This window comes from Homo sapiens, chromosome 11 (genome assembly GCF_000001405.40).
Source record: "Homo sapiens chromosome 11, GRCh38.p14 Primary Assembly".
In the NCBI taxonomy this organism is placed as follows: Eukaryota; Metazoa; Chordata; class Mammalia; order Primates; family Hominidae; genus Homo; species Homo sapiens.
Window position 1 is genome coordinate 92,519,981 of NC_000011.10, and position 19,219 is coordinate 92,539,199.

The following is a 19,219-nucleotide window of genomic DNA, read 5'->3' on the forward strand; positions in this document are numbered from 1 at the left end:
CTAAGTTATTATTCAAGAGTAATGGAAGTATTCTTCCATATAAAACTTTTAGATGCATGTTCTTAGCAGCTTTATTTGTAATGGTTAAAAACTGAAAGCAACTCAAATATTCACCAATTGGTCAGTGGTTAAAAAAATAATGCTGTACCGACACAATGGAATATTACTAAGAAATGAAAAGGAATTAACTATTGTTATACACAAAATAACATGGATCAATCTCAAAATAATTACTGTGAGTGAACGAAAACAGAAAAACAGTACAGACTATATTATTTAAGTTCTATAAAATTCTAGAAAATACAAAGTTATTTATAATGACAGAAAGGTAATCTGTGGTTACCTGGGGGTAGAAAGAGTTGAGAGTAAGGGATTGAAAATGAGAAAGAGGCTACTTTGGAGGATGATGGATATGTTTGTTGTTTTGATTGTGGTGATGGTTTCATGAAAATCAAAACTTACCAATTGTTTGTTTTAGACATGGACAGGTTATTGTATTCCAAATACCTCAATTTTTAAAAAAAGTAATAAAGAATGCATTGTGGTTGTCACAATGTTAAGGGCCCTCAAGATGTGATTTTGGCATTCCTTGGTCAATCTTAAAAGTGAGATTTGATTGATAAAAGAGGTAATGTGGATTTACATTCTTAGCTGTGACTATGTTGACTATCATTAGCTATAAGAGGATAGGTATGCAGAAATGCTATCACTGGACATCAGTGGTGTTAGCATGATTAATATTGAGTCTTGGATGAAACTCAGTAATTAACACATTTCAGACTCAGTCCTTTTAAAATTTGTCCTCAAATTTTTGGATCATAAAATTGACATCTGAACATTGTGTTCCAAGATACTCATTCACACTTCTAGTTACTTGGTAAATATAGCCATATACATCTTTTATTTTAACAGGAGAGAATTCTAATTTTTAAGGAAAATGTCTGATCCTTCATTAAGAGTAAAATAAGGTAAAATCCCACCCTTGTATTTTGATTTGTATTAGTGAAGGCATTTCATCTAAGGACTTCTCAAAATCCTTTAATGTCCAAAGGCTGTGATATACCATCTTCCTGTTTGACAAGTGGAAGAAAATAATTTAGTGACTTCCAGGAATCGCAAAGCAATTTTGTGACTGCAAATCTCTATATGAAAGTGCTTTGGTGTGTGTGTGTGTGCGTGCACACACACATACGTGGAAATGTAGGCATGGCAGGTAGTCAGGCAAGGTGACAAATAAAACTGAAAAACTTCCTTGATTTTATTGCTTATTGAATTATGTTCTCTTTTTAGTGACCTTACTTTGATGTTCCCCAAAAAGGCCAGATACTTTCACACACAAAAAAATTATGTAATGGGCAAATCACAAAGACTGTGAGAATGGCACATGACCAGAGAAGAAAAAACATCTGGCATGACAATTCATCCCCAACTTCTTACCTTTCAAGATTATCCCCTGCTTTAGGGTGTGATTACCATTTAGAATGCCTATGGTATTGCTTTTGGTTCACATAGATTTAACACGTACTCAGCATGTGCTATGCCACACACGCATTTTGCCAAACTTTTGGTGTACATTTAATGATTACCACAACACTGAGAGATGGGTATGAAAACAAGATTCGCTTGGGTTGAACATCTTCTCTATGGTCAATTGGGTAGAAAGTGAAGGATTCCAGATTTGAAACTGGGTTATTCAAGGCAGACAGTCTAGGGTTCTTCTACATTTAGCTGTGGAGCCTTGGGCAAGTTACCAACATGGTGTCCTTATCTTTAAGAGATAATTATAAAGTTTATATTATAGAGAATTTGAATTACAGATCTCACAGCACATTATGGATCCTCAGTAAATGCTATTTCCCCTGCCTCCCATCCCCTTCTGGTTCTAGAGTCTTTGGTCTTCCTAGTATATCGGTCTAAACCAGATTAGCCCTTCTGGCTGTTGGGTATGCATTTATCCCCTCAGTACAGATCTCCTTAATAAAGATCTGTGTTCTCCAAAGGACTGGGAGTCTTTTGAGGACAGAGACCCTCTCATTATCTCTGTTCCTCCAATGGCAGCACAGGGTCCAGTGGATGCCTGTAAACTGAATGGACAGGTCTCATGGCAGTGAAGAGGTGCCTTGCAGAGACTGCAGAACATTTATTTTGTGTTACATTACCTGTATCCCTCACCCCAGCTCACACCTTTCTACTCTTAGTTTCCATCCCAGAGACAGCTTAGTTCCCTGTCACTTGTCTGTTCTATGACTTGCAGAGCTCCAGCCTACCTGGGTGGCACCTCATGGCACTGACTGCTATGAGAGTTCCACAAAACTGTCCATGGTGTCTGTGATGTGCTGGTGTCCTGTACTCACAGATGTGCTCACACCTGTTCAGGTATCCAACCCTCAGAGCCCTCCTTCTCTGGTTCTTAATGTCATATTGACAATTGACTCTGTCTGAGAGACCAAAATAGATGGTCCTTTATCAACTAAGATGAATCCTAAGGTTAAAAAACAGAGTAGCTTCTGGGTTGACGGTTCAGGGCCCAGCTGGCATGGCAGATTTCTAAATTCCTACAGGAAAAACCACACTCCTACTAGACTCTCTAACAATAAGTGCTACCAGGCAAATTGTCCTAACTTTGATTTACAACCCAGACCACTAAAACTCTGGTTGGACAGAGGATTTGTCTCACAAACATTACTTTCTGATAAGCTACTGCAGACCTAAGCCAGTATCAGCTGGCTTATGAAGCCTGTGCACAAACTGTCTTTGTGTCCTATAGTTCATCTTTTGATGTAAAGAGCCAAATTCCACCTCATTTTAATGCTAAAATCCTGCCCCAAAGTGAACATAGAATGTATGTTGCATGTATGTTTGCCCACTGCGAATATGGTCTTCTCATAAATATGTATGATGTTTCTCCCAAATCTGCTGAATATGTATGACTGCATTGTGTGCTATGGGCCCTATGAGGCATAAAACCAACCTGGCCTTCCCCTCTTGGAAAAGAGAGCACCTTCGGCACACACTGGACAACATCTCTTCCCAGTTTGCAAACCGATATTGGCTGCCAATAAAGTTCTCCTTTCCACTATTTAGTCATCCTGGTGGTCTTATAGATGGCAGTGTCAACCCAGTTTATAAAGCTGTCTTTATTCATTCAATCAGTGAACACACATCACTGCGTTTATAATAGCTTTTGTTGTTGTTGTTGCTTTTACTTCTCATTTTCTTCCTATTCTATTGTCTAGTACCTATTCCTCTAATGACAGATTGGCATTTCTCTTCTAACTACCAGATATCAGCCATATTCTATAGGAACCCATTGTTTTACATATTTCCATTTAGATTATTTGAGATTAACTTTTGTCCCATGGCCTACCACTATGCAGAGTTCTTTGGTGAATAACATAGCAGCTGAAATTTCAACATCAATCCGGTTATCACCCTTTAAATATTTTATCTGTCTTGAGTTTGAGGAAATTTTGAGTATTCCAGCCTAACTGTTTCTGGACAGATGCCCTCCTCTCTCCCCGTTGCTGTACTTGGCAGTTTGCTTATGCAGGGTCTATAGGCTAAGTTATATGCCTAATTTAGACAAAAGTTTAACAGGAATACAGAGGATAGAGAATTCAGGGCAGAACTGGAGAACTGTTTCTTGACTCTTTTCACAATGTCTTTTATAGTATAAGGATTTACATGAATTTCACGCTTTCTATGAGCCTCCTGACTACTTTTACAGTTTTTATACACTGAGCCCAGAGTTTTCCCATCACGATGGGCTCATGATCCTGTCCCTGTGGTAAGTTTCTGCAGCCTAGTGATTGGGTAAGTGTTGTAAAGATAGACAAGAGCACTGTGTTTTCTCTGGCTTTTTAGGCAGACATCTGATTTCCTGGTTGGCACTTGTTTCAACCATGAAATGGGAAAGACTGGGCATTTTGTGCTCCTAATTTAAAATGATTGTCCATGAGCATCTCTCAAAGTGGCTCAGAGTTTATTAGGGCCCTCTGTAGAGTTCTTAAGGGGGATGGAACTCGTTTGGAACGTGTTTATATGACCTCTTCTCTGATTATGTTGGAATAGCTGTGACATTTCATTTTCGGGGAAAAAGTAAGAAGGAGGGTTACACCTTTGCAGGCAAAATATTTTCCACTCTAACAGGCAAAAAAAGAATATTTGAAAGGTTTTTCTTCTTTCTGTAAATGAACAGATAAAATAATTTACCCTAGGAGAGCTTTTCATTGCATAAGAAGTCAATTCAATATCAGGTCAAATGGAGATATTGACCTGATACTATACTGATTTCCCATGAAACATGGGAAGTGCTTTGACCCCTGGCCCAACCTCTTCTCATTCCTCTATATCATCTATTCTGTGTGTGTGCATCTGAGCTCAGGTTTGTTTGAGAGATATCTATCTCCAAAATTCAAATAAAGTATTTGTAAATGTAATTATACTCTATAAACAGTAGAAGAACTATTTAATCTGGTCCTGCTGAAAATCATTTTCTTATGTAAAGAGTGACATCTTAATTTAACCTTATGTTATGGATTTGGGTGTTTTTCATATGCCAAGATTATTTAGTGTAGTCCTTTGGAATTTGAGATTATTTATTTAATGTCTTCCCTTTCTCTGTGACAGTAACACTTCTCTTTTTTGTCTCAGGGGTCATCACTGCCGCAGACATTCTTGATCGGGAGACAATGGGGTCATACTGGCTAACAGTGTATGCCACAGACAGGGGCGTTGTTCCACTCTACTCCACCATTGAGGTCTACATTGAAGTTGAAGATGTGAATGACAATGCCCCGCTGACCTCAGAACCTATATATTATCCTGTTGTCATGGAAAACTCTCCAAAGGACGTATCTGTCATTCAGATCCAGGCTGAAGATCCTGACTCCAGTTCCAATGAAAAACTGACATACAGGATTACAAGTGGAAATCCTCAGAATTTTTTTGCCATCAATATCAAAACAGGTAAGGGAATGCTTATATGACTTCTTTTTAGTTTGTAGTCCAGCCTTTAAATTCATCAGCCTGACACTTTCTGTACTCATTTACTTTATTTTCTAAAGAATAGCATCTTCCTTTCTGAGAATGGTTTCTGAAAAGGTGAGTGCCACTTCTGCCTATGTGGTATGTTTTAATTTCACTTGACACTGAGTGGGAGTGATCTAATCAAAATCAGAGGTTTTCACAAAAGGCCTTAGATTTGCTTTACTCATAATAATAAAATGTGGTTCCCAGGCCACTCAGAGAGCCAGCTGCTTCCTTCTCTTTCTTGAAAAGAGTAACCTGGCCTCTGCTGGATTCTATGAGCAAGCTGGCTTTGTGATGCCTCTACCTCTAGACACTTCTCCCTTGCTGATCTCCTTAAAGCCTTCACCTCAAACTCCAGATGTTTTTGCGATTCCTGTACTACCCATCAAGGAAGCATCCATGTTTAAAAGAACTTCCAGTGTCTCAATTTTTACATAAAATATGTATAACTTCAATTTTCTGGTCTTTTGCTCAAAACGTTTTTAGAGATTGTAATGAAAACTTAATTGGTTGAGTAAGGGTAAGAAAGGTCTAAGGATCGGGAGCAGGTGTGCATTTGGCTGAATGCATTCTGAGACAGGTATGTACGTTGGAAAAGTTTTTTGCAGATCTGAGAGGTTCATTGCTTTCTTGTGATTTGCCTCTTTTAGGTCTGAACAAAGGAGTAAAATAGTGAGAGTTGTGATGGATGGGGTTTTAATTCTTTGAAATTTAGAATAATTTAAATTAATTTCACCCTGGGCAAGTGAGTTGATATTGGTTCAAAAAGTTAGGCTTAGTTGAGATTTGTTGGTGTGAACAAACTCAGCTCTCCTAATGAACTACTAATCTAGTTGATGGTCGTTTCTCCTGCCTATGTTTGTTAAACAGAAACATGTAGCTGACCTCAAGTATTTTATAAATGTCAGACTCCCATTAATATAATGAAAGAGAATGTCAGGGTTTAAGAAAGAAAATTATTGATTTTCTCTAATTATGAGTGGATCAATCATTTTGTTAAGCAGACTTTTGCATTCTAACAGTGTTGAATCGGGATTTGACTTGTATTTTATTGTAAGACAAAGAGAGTAGTAATTATCAGTATCTGTTGAGGCCTGCTTGTACTTGCAGAAGAGGGCTCAGATTTGGAGCCTTGGCCCAACCTTTCAGAGCCCCATTAAGTAGATAAAATTCTCCATGCTTCTGCGGAACAGGCCTCCAACTTTCCTGGGAAGCCCTCCTGATTTACTTTTTGGTATGGCAAAGAGCTCCTTAGAACATAGCCACAGAGAAATGAATTCAATCACTTTGCAAATTTAAGAGTGAGGGTTGTGGTGGAGGGAGAGAGAGAACAAAAACAAAAACAAACAATGTCACAGTAAAGAAGTTGAGGCCACAGGTATCTTCACATTTCACAACCCAGTGGAGCCTGAAATACCCCAGTCAGATTCTGCTTCTTCCATCTTGATCCCATTGCTACTTGAGTCATTAATGGTAGGCCCAGCACCCTTTTTTTAAAGAATTTAATAAAAAGCTGCAAAAGGGAAGTTTTCTCTGTTCTCATCCTTTACTTAGGAATGAATAGAAAAAATAACTGTCACAGGGAAGAGGGAAGAATTTGGGTTGGATGTGAAGTTCAGAGAAGAACATGCTCATTCATGTAACTAAAGCTTTCTTTTATATGGCTTTTAAAAGTTTGAACATAATTTTTCAGAAAGCCCTGTTTTATCACTATTTGGCCTACGTTGCTAATAAGATCCTTAAGCATGTTCATAATTTCTCTCTTCTTGCCATAGATTTTTAAAAAGCATTTTTGCCAGGAATGACATTTTTGTCCAACTGATCTAATTGTCTAAAGAAATATATAGCATACCTTGTAGTTTCCAGACACATGATAAGAAAATACTGCTTTTTTATCCATTTATTCAATCACCAACCACTTATTGTACCTATTACTTTTCAAGTAAGATCTAATAAAGAGGGTTATAAACTTAAGATATGGTCCCAGCCTTAGGGACCCAAACTTATATGAACTTAACAAATACTTATGATATAGCTAAAGATATAAATGATTCCAGCAGGGGAGCTTCACTCAATATAGGGTTGGTGGGAGTGATGGTCAGGGAGGGCTTCATGGAGGAAGTCACATTTGGAGTTAGAAGTCCTGAGTTTCAAATGCTTGCTCTGTGCTTTCTAACTACGAAACACCATAGAACACAGTGGGGGAAACAGACTGTATTGCACAGTTTTCACCAGCTTCATGAACTTACCAGCTTCATGACCTTGGGGAAATTATTGAACCTCTCTTAAATGTAGTTTTTAGTGAGTAAAAATAGTTGCAAGGAATATAGGAGTCCTCACCAGAAATCCTTTGCACAGTGCCTGGTGCATTGAAATCCCACAAAAAAAGCTGATACCCCATTCTAACTACTTTACTGTAGTTACAGTCATTTAATCTCTTTGGACCTCACTTACTTATCTGGAAAATGAAAATGACCTTGCTTACTCTGCAAGGGTTGCTCATGAAGTCTGAATGTCATCATGATGTGTTTGAAGGCTGTTGGTAAACTACAGAGTTCTGTAAGAGTCATGTTATGCCTATTTCTAATGAGATTCACAGAACTCCAAGTCTGGTGAAATTCTTGTTAATGGTGTTGCTCTAAGTATCATGCTGCCTAGGGGGCAACCTTCAGCCAGCTCAAGGAACTCTCTAATAGAAGTCTTAATTTTTGGCATTTCTTCCTGACTCTAAAGTCATTTGTCTGAAATAGTTACATCAATATAACATTTTTCAGTAATGAAGCTGGATGTGTAGCTAACCAGTGTGTAGATAGATAGATAGATACATAGATAGATACATAGATACATAGACAGAGGCATACTAACCAGTATATTTAGGAAAGATTTATGCTTTAGATTTTTTTCTCAAATGGATGTTGACTCTAGTAAACTAAGCTTTCATTTCCTCCTCTGCTGTACAGTTGGAATTTTTAGAATTTGGTTTTGTTTTGGCAATGTGCTACATAATAAAGATTAAAATGATTAACGCCAACGCAAATAATGCCAAGATGTATGATATACAGCTTGTAGCAGATAACAGATGTTCCCAACCCCAAAATGGAGAGAGATTTCTTTATCGAACATCTGTTCTCTACACAAATAACTGGGTTTTTTTCTACCACATCTAGAATCACGTAGAATCAGTAGTCTGTGGACTTTCTTTAGTAATTCCTGTGGCTTAAGGAAAACAAAAGCTGTAATGCTGTGTGGTTTTTTCTGGCCGGTACAGAGAACTCTTGCTTAATTCCAGGCCAAGCAGTTAAATTCAATCAAATGCAGCCTACCCCCATGTCTGAGGTGGAGATACCATCAGGCCGGTGTTCACTTGCCTCTTTGGGTGAGCAGGAATGTTGCTTCCTTCCAGTTCGCTCAGTCGCCCAGGCTGGAGTGCATTGGCACGATCTCGGCTCACTGCAAGCTCCGCCTCCCGAGTTCACGCCATTCTCCTGCCTCAGCCTCCCGAGTAGCTGGGACTACAGGCGCCTGCCACCACACCCGGCTAATTTTTTGTATTTTTAGTAGAAACGGGGTTTCATCGTGTTAGCCAGGATGGTCTCGATTTCCTGACCTCATGATCCGCCCGCCTTGGCCTCCCAAAGTGCTGGATTACAGGCGTGAGCCACCGTGCCCGGCCTCCAGTTCTTTTGAGGGAGTCCAGGGTGGCCCTCATTGGTCATCCAGGCTGAAGTGGGGAGCAGGGGTGGAAATTTCTTCTAGGGCTTTGGAAGGTTTATTTTAGTCATGTTTACACCATGGAAACCCCATAGTACAGGGCTGACATGCCAGTGTTTAGTAGAGAACTCAATAAATGTTAACTATTACGATCATCATCATCATCCCGTATTTCCCCCTAGAAAAAAAGTCTGTGTAAGCTACAAGCACACTGCTCCTGGACCCCACTATCTTGAGGAAGACATTTCTGAAAGGCAGCCATGTCTTGCCTTAGCAATTGCTAGGTAGCACTGAAATCTTCAACTCAGTTTTATGAAGTGCATGACGTACCGTTGATCTAGACCCCAGGTGTCAGCAGGGTGGGAGACATAACAGAAATACATTGGAAGATACTTTCTGCACTCAGGGAATTTAGTCTCATAGGAAAAACAGAACCATCATACTTACCATTTAAGGCAGCTTATTTAAAACAAAAACAAAACAAAACAAAAAAAGAGTGGAGCTTTGTGGATTATAAGCTATGAACAGTGTAACATGTCAGAGCAGAGCTGAGTAACAGGGGATCTTTGCGGACCTGAAGGGGGCCTGAAGAATGGGCTGACCTGCAGAGACAGAGGCCAGATAACTATACAGGGAATATAAACAAGTGAAGCTTACCAGATAGCTTGAGAGGCATGATATTATTAGAAAGCGAATTTTAAGAGTCATAAATGTCAGGAAAGTGGTAAGATATTAGAAGTAGCAAATACATACATCTCTTTTCATTTGTTTCTGAGTTTGATAATAGTTAAATTTTAAAGGGCCTTGTTTTTTTTGTTTTGTTTTTTTTGTTTGTTTGTTTTTTCCAATCTTCCTTCTGAGAGACCTACTTCTTAAAGGAATTATTTTAAAGGGAAAAACACATACATAAAAGAGACCCCTTCATTCTTTCTTTTGTGTCTGTAAAACATAGATCCAGGATTAGCATATGCTGCATTGAGAGTCTGCCTGTGAAAGTGATTTTTGCTTAATCCAGATCTTTCAATGGTTCACTGTCCAGGGCATGGAATTTCTAAGTTTATTTCTGCAGTTGCTCTGTCTCCCTTTGACCCATGCTCCATTCACTGGCATCTCCACTTGTATTTGAGTAGAGGTGAAGTTCAGCTTTCTTTTGCTTTCTGTGAGCATCTTGAAATAAACCTGAGTAAAACATAGTTTATGTGTTGGTAGACTGGCTACCCCCACTTTAGGCGACTTAGGAGGAAGAAATCCTCTTCAAAAGTGTGTGTGCTGTAAGAATACCTCAAATTCTACCTTTAAGTATTGATTACTCCTAGGATAGACATTTCCTTTCTCTATTAAAATTGGAGGAGATAGCTTATTAAAATATTGGATGTCTTTAGTTTTTTAATCAGCTGCATATAACATCAGCATGCCTTTTGGTATATGGTATACAACATAGTGGATAAGAGAGGGGGTAACAGGGAGAGAAATCCAGACCACACTTCAACCTGAAAATTATTACCTGGTGAGCTTGCTAGACTATAGAGTCTTAGGCCAGAGCTTGATTATTTGCATTTTTAACAAGTTTCTAGGTGATGATGATGTTGCTCTCTCCTGAGAGCCTGATTAGCAAGGTTCTATATGAAACAAATGAGGGAGGTAACAAGGTGCCCAGAGACACCTGAGGACAAGACAGCAAACTTTATGAGTTACCCCAACATCTTACGGGGCTGAGGTTTGAGAGTTAATTCAGTCACCCACTCCCAAAATCAACTCCCATATCCTTACTTATACTTTCTCTTTTATCAAGTGGAGAAAAATGAAAATCCTGTCTCTAACTATCCATGAGCAAAATATCACATGGATTCCTAAGACTTGTAGTTAATAAAAAACCTGGGTCACGTAATGTTTGGATACACTTGTATTATTTCCAAATAGGTAGAATCAAGCAGAATTTGTTATTAAGTGGAGTTCAGACCTACTTTAATGAATCAACAAACATTATTGTATTTTAATATATGATTATAAAAAAGTGTTAGTTCATAAGATATGGATGTTCAAAAATAATTTGTTATCTTAGGTAAGTTAAGCCTTGTGTTTATGCACAGTTCCATGTGGTGGTAATCTGCTTAGAAAACCACCTTTTCTAGGAAAAGAGGAGGAAACCTTACTTTATTTACAAATATAGGGATTTAAAGAAAAAAAAAAAGGTGAGGTACAAGGGTCCAAATATTGGTGCTTGTTTTTCAGTGAACATTGCGGAAATCTATTGTTGTTTTTTGTTCTTTGTTTCTTTCGGGATGGCAGAGCCCCTCCTAATAAAAAGCTAAATTCTCCTGAATGGGTAGAAATGGCTGCCGGATGATGAGTTGATATTCATAACTACAGGCACAAGGCAGATAATGTAGCGAATGAGTATGTGTGAAACTGTAAATCACCCTTGCTCCTTCTTTCAGCCATGAAAGGAGCCCTTGTCCTATAGAACATTAAATTGTGTTCATTTAATCCAACAAGTCCAGTAGAACAAATCGGGCTTATGCAGATTTATCACGGGGGTTATTTAAATTCAGCGGTGACCTTTGCATCCACGTGAATGTGCTCCACATGAACAAGGACAAAGGGAACTTTTCTGCATTGTCATTATGTCCCCAGGGAAGCTGTGCAGTTCCCCACTTGATCAGCTCACAACTGTGGGTTGAGGGTGGGGGTCATGGGGTTCCAAGGATGTGGAGGGCTGGGTCAGGGTGGGCCATCAGGCATGGGAGAGTGTGGTGTATTATATAGCATAAGAAAAATGATGCTCTTGCCCTGGCTGGGACCTTATCCTGGGCAGAGGCAGCTCAGAGGTACTTCCTGGAACTACAGTTCATTCTGGGGGAATAATCGTGTTGCTCTGTGTTCCATGCTGCTTCATGTCTTGCTAACCCACTGAGAACAGGTAGCGATGGTGTGGTATTCCCAGATAACCAGCCTTCCTCTGGGGCTCAGCTGCATTGTGTAGCTGCTGTTGGAAATTAAGTCCAGAGTGTGGACTCGCTCTGCCTTCATATAGCTTCATTTTTTTTTTCATATACTTATTGTGAATGTAAGTACCAACTTCAGAGTTTCTCAACCTCGATACTGTGGATGTTTTTGGTCACATAATTCTTCGTCGTGGGGAGCTGTTCTATATGTTATATAAGATGTTCAGCAGTATCCCTGGCCTCTGCTAGATGCCAGGGTCACCCCTTGCTTCAGTTGTGACAACCAAAATATCACCAGACATTATCATACATTCTAGGGATGGGAGGAACTGCCCCCATTGAGAACCATTGCACTAACGTGGAATACTTTACAGAACCCCATTCCATATGGCCCCTAGCAAAGCACCCTGTGCAAAATGAAATGACTGACAATTGAGATGTGATGGCATATAACTATAACTATTATATGTAATACGTGTGTATGTATGTGTACATATATATGTACACATAAATATTATTAATAATAAAATGAAATACCTAGAGGGAAGGAATGTTACACAAAGAGGCCTTGCTAAGTTTCTCCCAGTTTATTACCATTAGGATGTACCCTCTTTGTCCAGTCATACTTCTACACAACTGACCATTCTTCATCAAACCTAAACACAAAAATACACAGTTTTCCCTTGGCTTTGGGTTTTCTTTTCTGAAGAATCTTCTGTCTTATGTAACTTCAGTTAAATACATTTGTATGTTTTTCTATTGTTAACCCGCCTTTTGTTACAAGTTTTTAAAAATTTAAAAGAGAAGAAATCCAAAGCTGCCTCTCACTTCCCTCTGACTCCAGGTTCTTTGTATTTTAAAGGCTCTATGAATACTTGAAATAGAATCCATTAGAGAAAAAATAATAATAATAACAAAACTTCAAACAGAATACATGTGAATTAAGTTATCATTTTCTCAACTCTTAATATTTGGAGAGGATTTGGCTGGTAACGAAATTCTCCTCAGAGCCCATTTTGAACAGCCTTCTCCAGAAAACATCATGAAGGGATTAATTTCAGAGTTTCAGGGTTTCTTCCCTTGAAATGCTTAAGCAGCTCCAAATCCTGTTCCTGCTTAATGCCAGCCTTCTGACGGATCAATATGTGGATTGTTTCATCATTGGAATGAAACAATCCACATTAGATGAATCCTAGATGAAAAGGGGGGAAGAAAAATCCTTGTGACCTCAGGTAGGGATTCTGCAGTCATGTATCTAGATTAAGGCTCTCTGAGGTGTTGGCATCCATATTAAGTATTCAGTGCCCATTTACAAGCCCCAGGGAACTGCAGATGCATAGGGACTTAGACCAGTGTCCCAGACCACTATCTGTTTGTTTTTTAAGAGACAGAGTCTCCCGCTGTTGCCCAGGCTGGAGTGCAGTAGCATGATCATAGCTTACTACAGCTTCAAACTCCTGGACTCAAGCAATTCTCTTAGCCTCCCAAGTAGCTGGGACTACAGGTATGTACCACCGTATCCAGTTATTATTATTATTATTTTAGAAATGGGGTCTCACTCTGTTGCCCAGGCTATTATTGAACTCCTGGCTTCAAGCAATCCTCCCATCTTCCCATGTGCTGGGATTGCAGGCATAAGCCACTACACATAGCCCCTGAGCCACGTGCTGGATCCCCATCTTCCAGTACGTCATAGGATTTTGAAGCCTTGGGCTAAGTGCGAACTAGTGCCACCATCCATGATAGGAAGTAATTTGACTCCCCAATTAAGTTAGATTCCAATGGACAGGGCAACAGCATGTGTTTTACCCCATTTATGAGAAGCAGATTTGGATCTTCGAGTTAACAGGATTGTTACTTGGAAAATGATTGCTCGATGCTGTTTCTTTATAAAACTGAATTACAGGCAGGGATAGGGAGCTTTAATAAAAGGAAGAGAGGAATCAGCAGTCATGAACTAAATGATAAGAGCATAAGAGAAATGATGCTCTTGACCTGGCTGGGACCTTCCCCAACGCAGGGGCAGCTCACAGGCACTTCCAAGAGCTATAGTTCATTCTAGGAGGAGAATTGTGTTGTTCCTTGTTCCATGCTGCTTCATGTCCTGCTAACCCACTGAGAAAAGGTAGTGATGGAGGTGGTAGTTCCTATAGCCAGCCTTACCCTGGGGCTCAGCTGCATGGTGTAGCTGCTGTTGGAAATTACTGAGAATTATTTGGGAGGGTGATAGAGTCATGTAAATAGAGCAGATGATGGAGCTGTATTTATGTGTTAAAAAAAAGAGAGATTGATTAAGGTCATAAATTTCTCTTTTATTTCTTCTATCTGGGCATTATTTCCACAGCAGTAATTTACTACATTGCTTTATTACTTTCTTCTGTTCTGTGGGAAACAGTGAATTTTAATTGAAACCACTGCCCGCCTCTCTCCATTCTTGGATGCCATTGTTAGGGAGACTCCTAGATACTGCTGGGCTGTGTGTCCCTTGTCTATCAAGTATGAAGGGATGGTGGAAAGAGGAGCCTTAACCCAGAGCACAGGTCTACTCACTGTCTCGAGCCATGCCAACATGTTCATGTATTAGCTCATTCAGCAATAACCACAGTCCTGGGGGGGGAGGGGAACAAAACTCTGGGCTCTGGGCACAAAAGTGGTTTGACCAGGGTCACCCAGCTGGTCAGTGCCGAGCTAGGATTGGTCTGATTGATGGACTTAATGCTAAAAATAAATGCTATTGAATTTGAAAAACATGAGCAAACTAAATAAATAATTAATGATCCTAGAACTTTGTGGGGAAAGTCTTTCAGATGATTAAGCACACATTCTTTGTTTTATAGGTGTGTTAGGGGTTGAATTGTTCCCCAAAAAGACACACAACTCCCAGCCCACACTTGTGAATGTGACCTTATTTGGTAAGGAAGATCTTTGTAGATGTTACCAAGTTAAAATAAATTCATATTGGATGTGTGTGGGCCCTAATTCAGTGACTGGTGTCCTCATAAACAGAGAGAAATTTGGACACAGAGACACAGACCCAGAAGGAAGACAACGTGCAGAGAAAAAGTAACATTTTCGTCACCGAAGACAAGATTCATGCCTGAAGTACCTGTAACAAAAGGCAGGCTAACAAGAGAAAAACATACAAATGTATTTAACTGAAGCCACATAAGACAGAGGAGTCTTCAGAAATGAAAACCCAAAGCCAAGAGAAAACCGTGTTATTTTTACGTTTAGGTTTGATGAAAAATGGACAGTTGTGTAGAAGTATGCTTGGACCAAGAGCGTATATCCTAATGGTAATAAGGGGCAATGTAGCAAGGCCTCTTTGTGTAGATTCCTCTTGGCATTTTTGTGTAACATTCCTTCCCTCTAGGTATAAGGCAGGACACCTGTCACATGAGGGTCTTTAAAAGAAATAAGAGGGTAAGGTCAGAGATACCTTTATGCTTCTGTAGTTTTCTCAGTTTCCTTTAGCTTAAAATACTCCGTATGCCAAGGTGCTGTACTTGAGGTTATTGTGTTGGAGGCCCCAACAACAGCCCTGAGAAGATGGAAGCAGAGACTGGAGTTAGAAGCAGAGATTGGAGTGATGGTGCCACAAGCCAAGGAATTCCAAGGATTGCCAGAAGCTAGGAAAAAACAGGGAAGGATGCTTCCCTAGGGTCCTGATAGGGACCATGAATCTGCCAACAACCTGATTGTGAACTTTCAGCCTTCAGAACTCTATGAGAATAAATATCTGTTCTTTTAAGCTACCCAGTTTGTGGTGCTTGGTTACAGCAGCCCTAGGAAGCTAACATGAGTGCAATTCAGAGAATAGCTGTGAAGGTGAGGTTCTCCTAAAGGAGGGAGGAAGACCCCATGGCAGAATGAAGGACCACTGACTCCTAGTGCAGTACTCTTTTCACTAGACAAAATGGTAAGAACTTTAGCAGTTTTTGAACCACTCAAGCTTGGTTTTAGCTAGATAGTTTTTTTGTTTGTTGTTGTAGTACTTATGATCTAGTTGAATTTAACTATCTGGGTTGTTCTAAAAGGGTAGAAGTTGGATGAGAGACTTCTAAGTCTCTCATTGTTTCTAAGTCATTGCATTACTATAGTCATTTCAAGACTTCTGAAAGATAACCCATGGATAACACCATCATTTCTTACAGGAGTGTTTTTACAGAAGGCCATGAGGTCACGTAGAAGTTAATATTGACTGGCATTCAGTGTGCTTCATAAATCAGGATCTCATCAGTTTAATTCATTTTGTCATTTCTCAGTCTTTTAAAGCAATTTTCTGAAAGCACTTTTTTAAAAAAGCATTGAAGTTGCTATCTGAATAGTTTCTATAGTTTGAACAGTAGTTTATCCATTGATTGTGAGAACTTAAAGTCCAGTTTTAGTATTGTTACCACTTTATATTCTGATCTTGTCCTTTTTTGTCATCTTTGAGTGATTTTGTTCTTAGCTTCTTGACGTTCTTATAAAAGTGTGTAAGTGTTTTAAAAATCCATAAACTTTATTAATATTGAGGTAGATTATTCTGGGAAAGCATATGGAACTTTAACAATAAAATTATAAAACCAACACATGTTGAGTTATTGATAGCAGTCCTGTTGCTCTGTAGTAGAAAGACACATTTGCTTTCTACTTTGCTGTACATAGTCATAGTTAGGCTTCATAATAACCTTGAGAGGGAAAGAAGCTAGATGGAGTAGTAATCATGAGCTTGGACATGAGAAATAAATGTCTTTGCATTTTGATCCCAGCTTCTTGGCCATGTGATGTTGGGCAAGTGACTTCTCTGAGCTTCAGTTTACTCTGTGAAGTGAATAATTATAGCAACTAATGAACTGGCTTGCTATTAACATTAAATGAGTTAAGATATGTAAAGTATTTTAAAGGGTATTTTGCATGTAGTATACTCTCAGTAAACGTTCAATATTATCTGCATATGGACGGAATTTGTTTTAGCTAATTCAATGTCCACATTGTATGATTAAGGCCTTAGACAGTTCGTCTTTTCAAATTATGAAGAACATTTTACCTGGGTTCATTACATTTCATCTTGTAAGATTGTGATCATCTGTTGATTTCTATATATGTGGTTCTCTAAATTAAGTTGTGCCTGATAAGTGGACTGTGATGGGGCTAAACAAAGGACCCTCTCTCAAACTCCTAGAAACCTCTCTCCTTGTCTTCAATATTTCAACTTCCCAAGAGTAAAATTATATGACACCTTGGAAAGTTCACTGGTAGTCATAGCTTATCCAGATTTTAGTCCAGACCCTATCACTATTATTAACAGTGGACAAGTTTACTTCATTTCTATAGGCCACAGAATCCTCACCTATAAATCAAGGAGTTTGAGCAACAATAAAACCATCAATACCTGCTGTGTGTACTGCTACAGCATTTCCTACTCCCACGTAGACATCATTAATCAATTATAATGGCCTTTCATACATGCTCATGCTTTGCATCCATTTCAACCTAACCCTGAGCGGGAGCTGGTTTTGCGAAATGACATTTATTTGCCATTGAGGGCCCTGAGACCGTCTCTATCTCTGACAGTCTTTGAGTCTATATATGAGAATGGTATTGAAGTGAAGGGAAAAAGGAGACTGGTGGGAGAGATGATAGAAATGCAGTTAATCAGGTCTTGGTGACTTGGAGAAGAGCTGAACATGAGAGGAGAAGACAGTCTCAAGGGTGTAGTGAAAAGGAGCAGCAGGTTTGAAACCTCACAGAGAAGATACCTTGCTGTAAATAACTCTGGTGATATCTGTATACCCCTTAGCAGCCTCCTTTCCTGTGTGTACTGACCCCCAGTCTTTCCCTCCTTGTCTCAGCCAGTTAGATTGGGGTAGACACTAGTTCCAGGATTCTCTCTTCCAGGAATTTATTATTGGGATTCAGAGATAATTTCTGGGTGTGGTGGAATTGTGGAGTTATAAACCTGAGAACTGTAGGGTGCCTATGTGCATGAAGCAACTGACAGACAGACAGACAACAGACAAACTCTGATAGGCATTACTGAAACTCAGCTATGCTCCTTGCATTTAAATTCCCTAATATACCCTTGTAATAATAATACGTAATTTTGCTGTCAACGTTTGAAATAGATTTCCCTTTATTTAAGAAAAATATCTTAACAGACTCTAACTGGATCCCCAGTCAGGAGAGAGGCTCAGGAAAGAAGAGCTATTCCCTGATGTCAGTTGCTGCACAATTTTGTTAAAGAGTGGAAGAAGGAAGCCTTTAGGTTGGGTAAGTGGGGGAGATATCAGGGAAAGATATTTATCTTTATAAGTCATGTTATTGCTGGGAGTTTTCATCGATGCTATTTGGATGTTGGCCATCACTTTTTATCTTTCATTTGTGAAATTTTGTGGATCAAAATCTAAAATGTCATGATCTCCAGCATGTATGTGAATTAAGCCCTGTCTCTCTTTATTAATAGTTCTTAGATGGATATTTGCTGGTTTAAATGTTATCTATAGTGTTCTATAAAAATTGCCAACAATTCTATTAAGTGTATTATTCTATTTTAGACAATTCTGCTTATCTTTAACCTGTTGAACAAGATCTGCATGATAAACACCTGTTTTCTCAGAATTTTACCCTGTGAAATTCACCAGTACACCCACAAGAAGGATGGAATCCTCTCAGTTGGAAGCCCATTTCATTCACATACTACCCATAAGGCAATAGCCAAGTTTCTTAACTTGGTATAGCTCAGGTTCCCTATCAAGAAAATGGGTATACTAACTGAGATGCTGAGGAAATTAGGCGGGCTACTGTATTTTATAAAGCACTTAGCTTAGCCTTGCACATACAAAGTGCTCAACAAATGTTAACTGTTATAGCTATTATTAAATGCATTGCTTGTAAAGAATCTTTTCTTGAAAATCGATGAATAATCAATCTGATTAAATGCCTTGAAAGTCTCTGATATATACTACATACTCATGTTTTGTGAGTGCCTGCTATAAACCAGGTACAATGCTAGGCACAGGGTGTACAAGGATGAATAAAACAAGGACTTTACCCCTTTAAGACCTCACAGTTCAGAATAATTTCACCATGCACTGACATTTATTGCTACTGCCACACAGCTTTAAAATGAAGAGATTAAGTAAATAATATTAAGGTTCTTATGGGACCTTTTTTTCTGGCAATAATGAATGGTTATAATATTTATTGGTTGTTTTAGGAAGGAAAGCCTCTGAGAACATGAGTGAGGAGATGTAAAATAAATCCATCACATTAGAAACAGACTATTAAAGGCAGAAAACGCTCAGCCTCTGCCAATGACCATTTTTAAATGTGTGGCCTTTGCAGATACATCAGTTAACCAAGACAAATCCAATTTTACCTCCCACCACTTAAGTAAATTTCTCTTCTTTGTAAAATTTCCTATTTTATAAAGACATGCTTCATCTTGACTATGTACATACTAAATTGTTCATTTTTTACTGAGTTAAATTGTTTTCTGTCATAGTGAGAAATGCATTCTTCTGAAGAAATGATATTCATGCCCGGGA

General features: G+C 38.9%; 1 protein-coding gene across 12 annotated transcripts in view, besides 1 other annotated feature; it reads left to right on the forward strand.

Moving 5' to 3' along the window:
* Positions 1-19,219, forward strand: part of FAT3 (FAT atypical cadherin 3) — a 671,656-nt gene that overhangs the window by 295,163 nt on the left and 357,274 nt on the right. For all 12 annotated transcript variants that reach the window (XM_017017179.3, XM_017017178.3, XM_017017180.2 and 9 more), the window contains one exon: positions 4,654-4,968. In XM_017017179.3, coding sequence (XP_016872668.1) covers positions 4,654-4,968 — 315 coding nt within the window. The remainder of the gene's footprint in view (positions 1-4,653; positions 4,969-19,219) is intronic.
* Positions 4,509-5,044: an enhancer, noted in NCBI's record as "OCT4-NANOG hESC enhancer chr11:92257655-92258190 (GRCh37/hg19 assembly coordinates)". NCBI's record gives its function as "activates a minimal SCP1, AML or CMV promoter by ChIP-STARR-seq in primed H9 embryonic stem cells {active_cell/tissue: H9 hESC(primed)}" and the evidence as "EXISTENCE:reporter gene assay evidence [ECO:0000049][PMID:30033119]".